Source organism: Homo sapiens, chromosome 17 (assembly GCF_000001405.40).
Source record: "Homo sapiens chromosome 17, GRCh38.p14 Primary Assembly".
NCBI classification, from domain to species: domain Eukaryota; kingdom Metazoa; phylum Chordata; class Mammalia; order Primates; family Hominidae; genus Homo; species Homo sapiens.
Genome location: NC_000017.11, coordinates 18,211,186 through 18,225,296, shown reverse-complemented (window position 1 = coordinate 18,225,296; position 14,111 = coordinate 18,211,186). Strand labels below are relative to the sequence as shown.

The 14,111-nt window shown below is 50.4% G+C and overlaps 1 annotated feature.

Moving 5' to 3' along the window:
- Positions 7,617 to 7,716: an enhancer, noted in NCBI's record as "active region_11831". NCBI's record gives its function as "activates an Ori minimal core promoter by ATAC-STARR-seq in GM12878 lymphoblastoid cells {active_cell/tissue: GM12878}" and the evidence as "EXISTENCE:reporter gene assay evidence [ECO:0000049][PMID:35858748]".

Below are 14,111 nucleotides of genomic sequence, written 5' to 3'. Positions count from 1 at the left end.
AGACTTTTTCCTCCTCCCAGAGAGCGAGCGACGTGCCCACTCATGTAATGGGGCAGCCCTGTTCCGAAAGCCAAGACAGCTCTGACTGGAACAACTCCCTGGCCCCTCTGCGCCTCAGTTTCCCCATCTACACCATTGGTCAAGTGATTGCCAAGTTTATATTTTACCAATTTCACAGAACTCCATTTCGTCTGTTCCCCGCTCTGTCAGAGCACCTCCCACCGCCGTGCTTTTGCCTTGGCTTTGTAGTCAGGAATTCTTTCCTCACCCCCAGCCCCTGGGGAACTCCTACACATCTTTCAGGACCCAACGCAAAAGGCTCTGTGTCACAGCACAGGGGATTCTTTCTTAGCCAAAGAAAGAGACGGGATCCCCAGGAGGTGGCATTTGGGACTGTTCTGGGGTTGGATTGGAGCTTTACGGAGATGGGGGAAGGACCTCCCCCCGCAGAGAACAGCGTCTGAACAAAGCTTAGCCCTGCCCCTACTCTCAGGGGCCGTCTGCCTGTCCCCACCCACCTCCCAGGCCTTTTCTCATCTGGACAATGGCCTCGAGGCTGAACCTTTCCTTCCAGGCTGAGGATAGGCCGCCTGGCTCAGGGCTGGGGCTGCGGGAGGTCCTAGAAGCTTAGGTGGGGCAGGTAGGACAGGCCCCAACCCCACCAGCTGTGTCCAGGGAGCAGGAGCTGACCTCTGAGCCCGAGGCGGCTGCCAAGCCTTGGGGCCTGGCTGTCCCCCTCCACCCACGCCAGGCCGGCGGTGTTCAGCCCTTCCCCGTATTTGGGGCTGGATCCGGAAGAGGGCCCAGGAGTGAGTGAGGAGGTGAGAGGAGGGAGAATGACGACAGTAAAGCCCCTAAGTGTCTACTGCGGGGCAGGCGCTGTTCAAAGCCCTTTCCTGGTTTCAGCTGACTTAGTGCTGTCAGTAGCTCTACGAGGGAGCCAACAATATTACCCATCCCAAATGAGGAAGCTGAGACCATCAGCCAAAGGCTGTTAGTTGTTGGCAGAGCTGCTGGACTGAGGAGGATGAGACCCCTTTGGCCACTGGCCACGCCACACCAGCACAGGCAGCAGGGACAGCTCAGAGGTCTGGGTTCTGGTCCCTGCCCTGCCTCACACAGGAAGTGTTAAGAAGTTGCTGGCTGGGCGCGGTGGCTCATGCCTGTAGTCCTAGCACTTTGGGAGGCCTTGGAGGGAGGATCTCTTGACCCCAGGAGTTTGAGACCTGACTGAGCAGTAGGGTGAGATCTCATCTCTACAGAAAAAAAATAAATAAATATTTTTTTAATTAGCTGGGCATGGTGGCCCAGCTGTAAATTCCAGCTACTCAGGAGGTTGAGGCAGGAGGATGGCTTGAGCCCAGGAGGTTGAGGCTGCTGTGAGCTGTGATCGTGCCACTGCACTCCAGCCTGGGCAACAGAGCAAGACCATCTCGAAAAAAAGGCCAGGAGCAGTGGCTCACACCTGTAATCCCAGCGCTTTGGGAGGCTGAGGCGGGCAAATCACTTGAGGTCAGGAGTTTGGGAAAAACCCAGTCTCTACTAAAAATACAAAAAATAGCCGGGCATGGTGGCAGGTGCCTGTAGTCCCAGCTACTTAGGAGGCTGAGGCAGGAGAATCGCTTGAACCCAGGAGGTGGAGCTTTCAGTGAGCCGAGATCATTTGCTCTCCAGCCTGGGCAACAAGCGTGATAAATGAAAAAAACAAACAAACAAACAAAAAAAAAACGTTGATTCACATTCCCACTTTACCATTTGGAAGCTATGTGACCTGGAACAAGTTACCTCAAATTCTCTGTGCCTCAGTTTCCTCATCAGTAAAAATGGTGATAATATTAGTATTTACCTCAAAGGGTTGTTGTGGAGATTAAATGTGTCAGGGTAATATGAACCAGAGCAACTCCATCTTGAATAGGAGGTGGGTAAAATGAGGCTGAGACCTACTGGGCTGCATTCCCAGATGGTTAAGGCATTCTAAGTCACAGGATGAGCTAGGAGGGGGTCGGCACAAAATACAGGTCATAAAGACGTTGCTGATAGAACAGATTGCAGTAAAGAAGCTGGCCAAAACCCACCAAAACCAAGATGGCCACGAGAATGACCTCTGGACATCCTCACTGCTACACTCCCATTAGCGCCATGACAGTTTACAAATGTCATGGCAACGTCATGAAGTTACTCTATATGGTCTAAAAAGGGGAGATATGAATAATCCACGTTTAGCATATCATCAGGAAATGACCACAAAAATAGGCAACTTGGCCGGGCACGGTGGCTCACGCCTGTAATCCTGGCACTCTGGGAAGCCGAGGTAGGTGGATCACCTGAGGTCAGGAGTTTGAGACCAGCCTGACCAACATGGAGGAACCCCATCTCTACTAAAAATACCAAATTAGCCGGGCATGGTGGCACATGCCTGTAATCCCAGCTACTCGGGAGGCTGAGGCAGGAAAATTGCTTGAACCCGGCGGGCGGAGGTTTCAGTGAGCCGAGATTGCACCACTGCACTCCAGCCTAGGCAACAAGAGTGAAAATCCATCTCAAAAAAACAAAGGACAACTCTGCCTATGGAGTAGCCTTTTTTTCCTTTTTCTTTTCTTTTTTCTTTTTTTTTTTTTGAGATGGAGTCTTGCTGTGTTACCCAGATTGCAGTACAGTAGCACTATCTTGGCTCACTGCAGCCTCTGCCTCCCAGGTTCAAGTGATTCTCCTGCCTCAGCCTCCCAAGTAGCTCGGACTATAGGCATGCGCCACCACACTCAGCTAATTTTTGTATTTTTAGTAGAGACCGGGTTTCACCATGTTGACCAGGCTGGTCTTGAACTCCTGACCTCAGATGATCCGCCTGCCTTGGCCTCCCAAAGTGCTGGGATTACAGGCATGAGCCGTTGCACCCGACACCCAATCTCCATTTTTCTTTTTCTTTTTCTTTTTTTTGAGACAGAGAGACAGAGTTTCACTCGGTCGCCCAGGCTGGAGTGCAGTGGTACAATCTCAGCTCACTGCAACCTTTGCCTCCCAGGTTCAAGCGATTCTCCTGCCTCAGCCTCCTGAGTAGCTGGGACTATAGGTCTGTGCCACCATGCCCAGCTAATTTTTTGTATTTTTAGCAGAGACGGGTTTTCACCGTGTTAACCAGGATGGTCTCGATCTCCTGACCTCGTGATCTGCCTGCCTTGGCCTCCCAAAGTGCTGGGATTACAGGTGTGAGCCACCGCACCCAGCCAGCAGTCCCCATTTTTCAATGGGACTTGGTTATTAGGCAGTAAGCAGCCATGCCTTTCCCAACCCCTATCTCACAGTTTTTTGGGGAGCAGGGCAACAGAACTGAGTCGAGACCACAGCTAACCATAGCTCACCGTCCTATGATGGGGCATGCACTGGGGCTGTGGGAGCCCAGAAGAGGCATCTGGCCCAGGGTCAGTGTCCTGCTGGGAGAGGACAGTGCACATGGGTTGTAATGGGTAAGGAGTGTACCTAGTGGAAGGAGCCAGGGGATAGGCAGGGAAGAGTCTCATGGCAAACGGATTCGCAAAGTGTCAGTACCCCCACCCCACAACACACACACACTTGTTAATTCAGATTCTAGGTCCTGCAAATGTGAATGACAGGCGAGTGGGGCCCCAGAATCTGGATTTTAAACCAGCTCCTTTCCCAAATGACCCTGAGGCCTAGCTTGGCCCCATCTGATCAGGTTAAGAGGGGTCAAATGGGTATACAGATACAAATGGGTAAACTGAGGCCTGGGCATGTAGGCCCAGCCTACCCATACCATCAGGCAGGGTTCAGAAATGGCACTAGAGAGGGCACCATCTCCCAGGCTGGGAGGGTCTGGGACACTAATGACTGTTTTTCTGTCCCCTCCCCCGCAAGTCAGGGCAGCCCAGGCCTATGATTACCACAGCAGCCCCAGGGGGCAGAGATTGGCACAGATGGCCATGCCAAGTCAGCTCATTGCTAGAACAAGAAACTGAGGGTCAGGGGAGCCCAGACAAACAACTGAACACAGGGTCCCGGTCATCTCAGGTGCCCACCCATCCTTGGAGCTGGGGGAGGCAGGAGGGTTCCTGAGTCAGCAGCACTGGCAGGGGAAGCTGGTTCTTCCTTCAGCCTCCCAGCCTCAGGTCAATCTCAGGCTAGGGGGGGGCTGCCTTCTCGGCATTTCCTTGGTGGGGTGTCCCCCTCCTCTCACCTCCTCCTAGGCTCCCATAGGGCTCTCACCCAGCTCTGGAGTCCGCCTTCAAATCCCAAGACATCCCCTTGCTCATTGGGTGACCTCAGCTAAACCATGAGTCCACCCTGGGCCTCAATTTCCTCATCTGTAAAATGCAGTAAGGACTAAATGAGATGACTCAAAACAAGATTTGAGGCCGGGCGCGGTGACTCACGCCTGTAATCCCAGCACTTTGGGAGGCCGAGGAGGGCAGATCACGAGGTCAGGAGATAAAGACCATCCTGGCTAACACGGTGAAAACCCATCTCTACTAAAAATACAAAAAATTAGCCGGGCGTGATGGCACAGACCTGTAGTCCCAGCTACTTGGCAGGCTGAGGCAGGAGAATCACTTGAACCCAGGAGGCAGCAGTTGCAGTGAGCCGAGATCAGTGCCACTGCACTCCGGCCTGGGCGACAGAGCGAGACTCTGTCTCAAAAAAAGAGTTGAGCACAGGACCCAGCAGGGTTTGTTCCTAGTGAACCAGCTGTGCCTAGAATAGCGCCTGGCACATAATTAATGCTCGACACATTTAAAACAACAGATTAAAGCCGGGCACAGTGGCTCACGCCTGTAATCCCAGCACTTTGGGAGGCTGAAGCAGGTGGAATACGAGGTCAGGAATTCGAGACTAGCCTGACCAACATGGTGAAACCTCATCTCTACTAAAAATACAAAAAAAAAAAAACATTAGTCAGGTGTGATGGTGCATACCTGTAATGCTCAGGAGGCTGAGGCAGGAGAATCACTTGAACCCAGGAGGCAGAGGTTGCAGTAAGCTGAGATCACGCCACTGCACTCCAGCCTGGGTGACAGAGTGAGACTCCGTCTCAAAGAAAACAATTTTAAAAAATAGATTAAAGATCTGAGGCCGGGCACGGTGGTTCACACCTGTAATCCCAGCACTTTGGGAGGCCAAGGTGGGCAGATCACTTGAGGCCAGGAGTTTGAGTCCAGCCTGGCCAATATGGTGAAACGCTGTCTCTACTAAAAATACAAAAATTGCCGGGCCCACTCGCTCACGCCTGTAATCCCAGCACTTTTGGAGGCCAAGGCTGGTGGATCACCTGAGGTTGGGATATCGAGACCATCCCGGCTAACACGGTGAAACCCTGTCTCTACTAAAAATACAAAAAATTAGCCAGGTGTATGGCACATGCCTGTAATCCCAGCTACCCTGGAGGCAGAGGCAGGAGAATTGCATGAACCTAGGAGGCAGAGGTTGCAGTGAGCCAAGATATTGCACTCCAGCCTCGGCAACATGAGTGAAACTCCATTTCAAAAAATAAATAAATAACAAAATAAATAAAAATAAAAATATAAAAATTAGCCAGGTGTGGTGGCGCATGCATGTAATTCCAGCTACTTGAGAGACTGAGGCAGGAGAATCGCTTGAACCCGGGAGGCGGAGGTTGTAGTGAGCCAAGATCGCACCACTGCACTCCAGATTGGGCAAGAGTGAGACGCTGTCTCAAAAAAAAAAAAAGAAAACAAACAAAAACAACAACAAATAATCCATACTGTTCAGGAGTTAAGTCCACAGAAGTGGCGGTTTGGTGGTTGATGGGATGTAAGTAGGCAGGTAGGTGAACAGGATGGCATGCATTGAAGGTGTCTTCGGACGTAGGTGCCCCAGTAAAGGCTATATCTGTGCATATCTCCCTGAATCCTCATAGATACCAGAACAACCCTGTTTTATAGACAGTAAATGGAAGATACGTGTAGAGAAGTGACTTGGTCACTCCTCTGCAGAGGGAAAGAGAAAGGGTGATCTCAGGGAGCGACAAGTGGGGAAGCTCCAAGGGAGGTAGATTAGGGTCAGTAAGGAAGTGGGAGGAAAACCAAGAGTCTGACTGAAGAAGGCAGGCCCTGGCTTTCAGAAGCTGGCCCAGATCCCAGCTGAGGCCATGACCCTCTCGAGCTGCCCAAACCACGGACTCAACTTCTTCCTAGTGGCTCCTGGGGGGCCAGATCTGGCAGGCTGGAAAATTCCTGGAGTGGTCTAGGTTGGGACAGAGCTAGGCAGGGCCCAGGATGGAAGGAGAGAGATGAGGGAGTGGGAGAAAGGGTGGGCTTACTGAGACTCCAAGACAGGGTCAGCAGACCAGCCCAAGCCAGGGAGGAGTGAATACCTCATCCCATGTGGTATGCAAATGAAGCTGAAGCTTAATAAGGTCTTGTGTCCTTTAGGTCCAGACAGAAGGGAGCAATGGATTTAGGGCCTCCTCAATCTACAGAGAGTGAATAGTGTTGTGTGCCTCCATGAAAGAAAGGCCAGACAGGTAGGGGGAGTGTTGGGGCTGACCTACTCTGTCCTTGTTTTATACAAGGGAGGAAGCTGAGGTTCAGAGAAGTGACCTGCCCAAGGTGACAGGTGAATAATATATGAGTCCCTGGACCTCTAACCGAGTGCTCCTTCTCTGGAGGCAGGACTCTCAGCCCTGACACTCGCTGAGCCTGGATCCTGAGTATGCTTTTCTTGGCTCATGCTGGGCTACAGGAACGGGGATCTGGGCACACCTGCTCCCTGCAAGGACTGTCAGGATTGAGGCCCAAGGGGCTGGGTATGTGGACATTACCACAGACCTGTTGGAAGGTGGGGCTTTGTGTTTCACTTCTCTCTGGTGCCCCAAGTGCTAATCCTGCCTCTGCCACTTTCCCTCTCTGGGCCTGTTTTCTCATCTGCGAAATGCGGGCTAATATTAATTGCTACCATTTATTAACACTGAGCACTTAGTCTGTGCCAGGCACTAGTTATTCCTTTAATCTTATGCCCATTTTACAAAGGAAGAAACTGAGGCCAGAGAGGTTAACTTGCCCAAAGTCACACAGCTAGTATATTGCAGAATCAGGATGTAAACCTAGTCCCCTCATGACGTCTCAGAGGTTGCAGCGAGAATTAAATGAGACAGTAAGTTAATGGCCTCACTCAATGAGAGTGCAGGAGAAGGTGGGAGTTAGGGCCCTGTTTCCCAGCCTGGAGTGGAAACACTGGGACCACAGAGTACACTCTAGGCAGTGCCAAAGGAGGCCCCGGTCTGGGTGGGGGAGCCCAAAGGCACCCCTGAAAAGCCTGGGAGGGGGCCAGAGAAGGTAGCATGGAAGAGAGCTGCCTGAGGCAGAGTACTGGCACTTGCAAAGATGTCTAGAACTCTCCAAGGAGCTGGGGCCAAGAGAGGTAGCGTGGGGCCCAGGCTGGGACTGCTGTTATGTGTGGCCTGGGGGTGGACCTGATGGCATCTGCTTGACCCACAGGTCCCAGTGCCCCTCCACACCTACTAGGATTAGTAAGGAAGTGGGAGGAAAACCCTACTAGCCCTGAGATCCCTGGCTGAGAAGGGCAGAAGCAGTGGGGAACCTAAGTTATTGGCTCTGAGTAACCTCTGGCAGGTTCGGGGGTCTCTGGGGACCTCAGTTCCCCATCCAAACCAAGGGACAGCTGCTGGCCCTTGCCCTCTACTCTGAAGCACCATCACTCAGGCTATGCTGCCACACTGTGGACACAGGAGGAACTGCGGCAGCAAGCGCCTCACACCTAACTGGAGGACCCCAGCCCTGACACTGCCCGAGCCCTTAGTTTTCCATCTCTCACAAAGACAGTGGATTTTCTTTTTTCTTTTCTTTCTTTTTTTTTTTTTTGGGGGGGGGGACGGAGTCTCACTTTGTCACCCAGGCTGGAGTGCAATGGCGCGATCTCGGCTCACTGCAACCTCCGCCTCCCGGGTTCAAGCGATTCTCCTGCCTCAGCTTCCCAAGTAGCTGGGATTACAGGTGCCTGCCACCATGCCCGGCTAATTTTTTTTGTATTTTTAGTAGAGACAGGGTTTCACCAGGTTGGCCAGGATGGTCTCGATATCTTGACCTCGTGATCCGCCCACCTCGGTCTCCCAAAGTGCTGGGATTACAGGTGTAAGCCACCGTGCCAGGCCTTCCTTTCTTTCCTTTTCTTTTCTTTCTCTTTCTCTTCTTTTCTTTCTTCTTTTCTCTCTCTCTCCTCTTTCTCTCTCCTCTCTCTTTTAGACAGTTTCACTCTTGTCGTCCAGGCTGGAGTGCAATGGCACGATCACAGCTCACTGCAACCTCTGCCTCCCGGGTTCAAACAATTCTCCTGCCTCAGCCTTCCGAGCAGCTGGGATTACAGGCGCCCACCACCAGGCTGGCTAATTTTTGTATTTTCAGTAGACACAGGGTTTCACCATGTTGGCCAGGCTAGTTTTGAACTCCTGACCTCAGGTGATCCACCCACCTCAGCCTCCCAAAGTGCTGGAACTACAGGCGTGAGCCACTGCACTCAGCTAAGAAAGTGGTTTTCTTATTGATTTTGACAGTCCTCTGCACAGCAGCACCAGTGATCCTACATCTGTTCACATCACTCCTCTGCTCAAACTCTCTATGGGAATCTAGTGGTGTGCTGGAGCCCTCTGCAAGAGCCAAATGGCAAATTTTCAAGAACTTTTGTGAGTCAGTTGTTAAAGTCATTAAAAATTAATTATATAAAATTAAAATTACACTAAAAACTAAGGGTAATATTAAAAACTAAGCATTTCCTACTTATTTTGCCACATTTTCCTATTATCTGTACTCTTGGATTACATCTATTGTATCTGTATGGTGGAAACACTATATATTGGGGTGTTACTGCACATTTCTTCACAGCTCGATGTTCAGTGACCTTACCTTGATCAGCTGCAATCAGCCATGATAACCCCTGGACTTAAGCAATCCTCCCGCTTAGCCTCCTGAGTAGCTGGGAATACAGGGTGTGCTGCTGTGCCCAGCTCTATAGTTTTCTAGACCAGTACCATCCAACAGAAATATAATGCAAGACACATATGTAATTTTCATTATTGAGTACCCAGATATAACAGTAACAGAAAACAGGTGAAATTAATTTAAATAGCTTTTTTTTTTTTTTTTTTTTGAGACAGAGTCTGGCTCTGTTGCCCAGGCTGGAGTGCAATGGCACGGTCTCGGGCTCACTGCAACCTCCGCCTCCCAGGTTCAAGCAATTCTCCTGCCTCAGCCTATTTTATTTAACCCAGTATGTCCAAATTTAACATATGTCCAAAATAGTTTTTTTTTTCTTCTTTTTTGGGGGGGTTTTGAGACAAAGTCTCGCTCTCTCACCCAGGCTGTAGTGGCACGATCTTGGCTCGCTGCAATCTCTGCCTCCTAGGTGCAAGCCTGCCTCAGCCTCCCAAGTAGCTGGGATTACAGGCGAGCGCCACCACACCTAATTTTTGTGTTTTTAGTAGAGACGGGGTTTTGCCATTTGGTCAGGCTGCTCTCAAACTCCTGACTTCAAGTAATCCATCCACCATAGCTTCCCAAAGTGATGGGATTATACGTAGGCCACCATGCCCAGCTCAAAATAGTATCTTCAACAAGTAATCAATATAAAGTTCTTAATGATTTACATTGTTTTTTTCATACTAACTCTTCAAATTCTGGTATTTTACACTAAAAGCACATTTCAATTCAAACTAGCCACATTTCAAATACTCAATAGCCAAGTATCAGTGGCTGCTGTACTGAAGAACACAGGTCTAGATTTAAGAAAGTGATGAAGAGGGCCGGATGTGGTGGTTCACGCCTGTAATCCCAGCACTTTGAGAGGCCGAGGTGGGCAGATCACCAGGTCAGGAGATCAAGACCATCCTGGCTAACACGGTGAAACCCTGTCTCTACTAAAAAATACAAAAAATTAGCCAGGCGTGGTGGCGGGTAGTCCCAGCTACTCAGGAGGCTGAGGCAGGAGAATGGCATGAACTCGGGAGGCAGAGCTTGCAGAGAGCCGAGATCATGCCACCGTACTCCAGCCTGGGCGGCAGAGCAAGACTCCGTCTCAAAAAAAAGAGAAAGTGAAGGAAAATATTAATGATTCAGATTAAATTTAAAAGTACTGCTATAGCTGAGAAATTTTAATCCAACTAATATTTGAGGATGAGAAAGCAGATGATATATCAGATTTAATGGCAATAACTTTACTGGGAGAAGGGCATGTAGGGGCTGATCCATGGCCTCCACAAATATCGGGTCATTATCCCTGGGACCTGTGAATGTCACCTCATAAGGAAAAAGGGTCTTTCGAATATAATTAAACATCATTACATAGGGGACCGGGTGCAGTGGCTCAGTGCTTTGGGAGGACAAGGCAGGAGGATCACTTGAGGCTGGGAGTTTGAGACTAGCCTGGGCAACACAGTGTGAAGTCTTCTACAAAAAAAAAATTTTTTTTTGAGGACAGAGTTTTGCTCTTGTCGCCCAGGCTGGAGTGCAGTGGCACGATCTTGGCCCACTGCAACCTCCGCCTCCCAGGTTCAAGCGATTCTCCTGCCTCAGCCTCCCAAGTAGCTGGGATTACAGGCGCCCACCAAGCCTGGCTAACTTTTTGTATTTTTTAGTAGAGATGGGGTTTCGCCACGTTGGGCAGGCTGGTCTCGAACTCCTGACCTCAGGTGATCCACCCACCTTGGTCTCCCAAAGTGCTGGGATTACAGGTGTGAGCCACCACGCCCGGCCTACAAATTTTTTTTTTTTTTTTTTTTTTTTGAGACGGAGTCTTGCTCTGTCGCCCAGGCTGGAGTGCAGTGGCGCATCTCAGCTCACTGCAAGTTCCACCTCCTGGGTTCACGCCATTCTCCTGCCTCAGCCTCCCGAGTAGCTGGGACTACAGGCACCCGCCACCATGCCTGGCTAATTTTTTGTATTTTTTAGTAGAGACAGGTTTTCACCATGTTAGCCAGGATAGTCTTGATCTCCTGACCTCGTGATCTGCCCGCCTCCACCTCCCAAAGTGCTGGTATTACAGGTGTGAGCCTCCGCGCCTGGCCCAAAATTTTTTTAAAGAAATTAGCAGGGTGTAGTGGTGTGTGCACACCTGAGGTTGGGAGGCTGAGGCAGGAGGGTCACTTGAGCCCAGGAGTTTGAGGCTGCAGTGAGTCGAGATCATGTTACTGCACTCCAGCCTGGGTGACAGAGGGGCCCTAAATCCAATCGTGAATGTCCTATTAGGAGAGAGGCAGAAGCCAGGCACAGTGGCTCACACCTGTTATCCCAGCAGTTTGAGAGGCCAAGGCAGGAAGATTGCTTGAACCTGGCAGGTCAAGGCTGCAGTGAGCTGTGATCCAGCCATTGCACTCCAGCCTGGGTGACAGTGAGACTCTGTCTTTAAAAAAAAAAAAAAAAAAAAAAAGAGGAGATGTGGTACACAGAGGAGGAGGCCATGTGACCATGGAGGCAGAGACGTGAATCTGCCCGTTCCCAAGTCAAGGAATGTTAACAGCTAACAGAAGCTGTCAGAGGCAAAGAACAGGTTTTCCACTAGACAGGCAAGCCCAGTGATGTTGAGTTTCCCAGAATTTGAGAGAAATAAATTTGTCGTTTTAAGCCACCAGGGTTGTGGTGACTTGTTATGGCAGCCACGGGAAACTATTACAAGCAGGTATGATGCAAGTCCCTTTGTCATATCATGGCTGAATTATAAGCACAAGCAGACTACAAATACAGTAATTCAGCAAAAAAACTAAAATAGATTTCTGTGAGAAAAGATTGGTTATATGGAATTTATAAGAATATATATGTTTTAATAATTTAAATGCTGGCCAGGCACAGTGGCTCACGCCTGTAATCCCAGCACTTTGGGAGGCCGAGGTGGGTGGATCATGAGGTCAGGAGTTCAAGACTAGCCTGGCCAACATAGTGAAACCCCATCTCTACTGAAAATACAAAAAATTAGCTGGGCATGGTGGCAGGTGCCTGTAATCCCAGCTATTCGGGAGGCTGAGACAGGAGAATCGCTTGAACCCGGGAGGCGGAGGTTGCAGTGAGTGGAGATCACTCCACTCACTGCACTCCAGCCTGGGCAACAGTACAAGACTCCATCTCAAAAATAATATTTATATGCTATACTTCACATCAGTAAAATTTATAACTTTATGCGTATATGACATCATATACTAGGTCTGTCTTGTATCTCCAGCACTGCGCAATCTCAGCTCACTGCAACCTCCACCTCCTGGGTTCAAGTGATTCTCCCACCTCAGCCTCCCGAGTTATCTGGGACTATGGGTACGCACCACCATGCCCAGCTAATTTTTGTATTTTTAGTAGAGATGGGGTTTCACTATGTTAGCCAGGCTGGTCTCAAACTCCTGACCTCAAGTGATCCACCTGCCTTGGCCTCCCAAAATGCTGGGATTACAGGCATGAGCCACTGCGCCTGGCCAGACACTATTTTTTGAATGCGTGAACGTGACCTCTGGCCAGTCAACTTCTCTGGGCCTCAGTTTCCCCTTCCACACAAAAGGGTTGGAGGAATGGGATGGGGTCCTAGCGGGGTGAGGGATGGCACCAGCTGTTAGAGCATCTACTGTGTAGAAGACTGGGCTAGGGACAGGGGTTGATGGGACTCAGCACCTGGCCTGAGGCCCTAGGAGATGGCTGGGAACAGGCAGATCCAGAATCAGATCAGGCAGATCCAGAATCAGATGTAGAGTTCTAGGGACTACTCAGAGGATTATGTTACAGAGATAGAGTGCTACTGTACAGGTAGAGAGACAGCAGGAACTGCTAGGGCCAAAGCCCCCTCCTCTAGTCCTCCTATCTCTCCATACTACAGGGTGAAGGGCCTTTTTCACCCAGGGATTGGGAAGAGGCTGAATCCTTTTTTTTTTTTTTGAGACAGAGTCTCGCTGTGTCATCCAGGTTGGAGTGCAGTGGCGTGATCTCAGCTCACTGCAACCTCCGCCTCCCAGGTTCAAGCAATTCTCCTGTCTCAGCCTCCTGAGTAGCTGGGATTACAGGCACGCACCACCGTGCCCAGCTGATTTTTGTATTTTTAGTAGAGAAAGAGTTTCACCATGTTGGCCAGGCTGGTCTCGAACTCCTGACCTCATGATCCGCCTGCCTCAGCCTCCCAAAGTGCTGGGATTACAGGCATGAGCCACCACGCCCGGCCCGAATCTTTTTTTTTTTTTTTGAGACAGGGTCACCCAGGCTGGAGTGCAGTGACGCGATCTCGGCTTACTACAGCCTTGACCTCCTGGGCTCAAGTGATCTCCCACCTCAGCTTCTGAAGTAGCTGGGACTACAGGTGCATACAACCACACCTGGCTAATTTTTGTATTTTTGTAGAGACAGGGTTTTGCTGTGTTGCCCAGGCTGGTCTCAAACTCCTGGGCTCATCCATCTTGGCCTCCCAAAATGCTGGGACTACAGGTATGAGCCACTGTTCCTGGCTGAGTCTGACTTTTTTTTTTTTTTGTTTTTTTGAGACTGAGTCTTGCTGTCGCCCAGGCTGGAGTCCAGTGGCACGATCTCGGCTCACCGCAACCTCCGCCTCCCGGGTTCAAGCGATTCTCCTGCCTCAGCCTCCTGAGTAGCTGAGATTACAGGCGCCCAGCACTACGCCCAGCTAATTTTTGTATTTTCAGTAGAGATGGAGTTTCACCATGTTGGTCAGGCTGGGAGTTTTTTTTTTTTTTTTTTTTTTTTGAGATGGAGTTTCGCACTGTCCGCTGGGCTGGAGTGCAGTGGCACGATCTCGGCTCGCTGCAACCTTCGCCTCCTGGCTTCAAGTGATTCTCCTGCCTCAGCCTCCCAAGTAGCTGGGATTACAGGGGCCCGCCACCATGCCCAGCTAATTTTTTGTATTTTTAGTAGAGACGGGGTTCCACTATGTTGGCCAGGCTGGTCTCAAACTCCTGACCTCGTGATCTGCCCACCTCGGCCTCCCAAAGTGCTGGGATTATAGGCATGAGCCACTGCGCCTGGCCAGAAGTCTGACTTTTTAATGGCAATGGAAAATAGGGTCCTCCACAAAGACGGTTCCTCGCACTCCCCCAGCCCTTCTCTGAGCCCCTATCCCATGCCCCAAGAGTCAGAAGCTCAGGCATG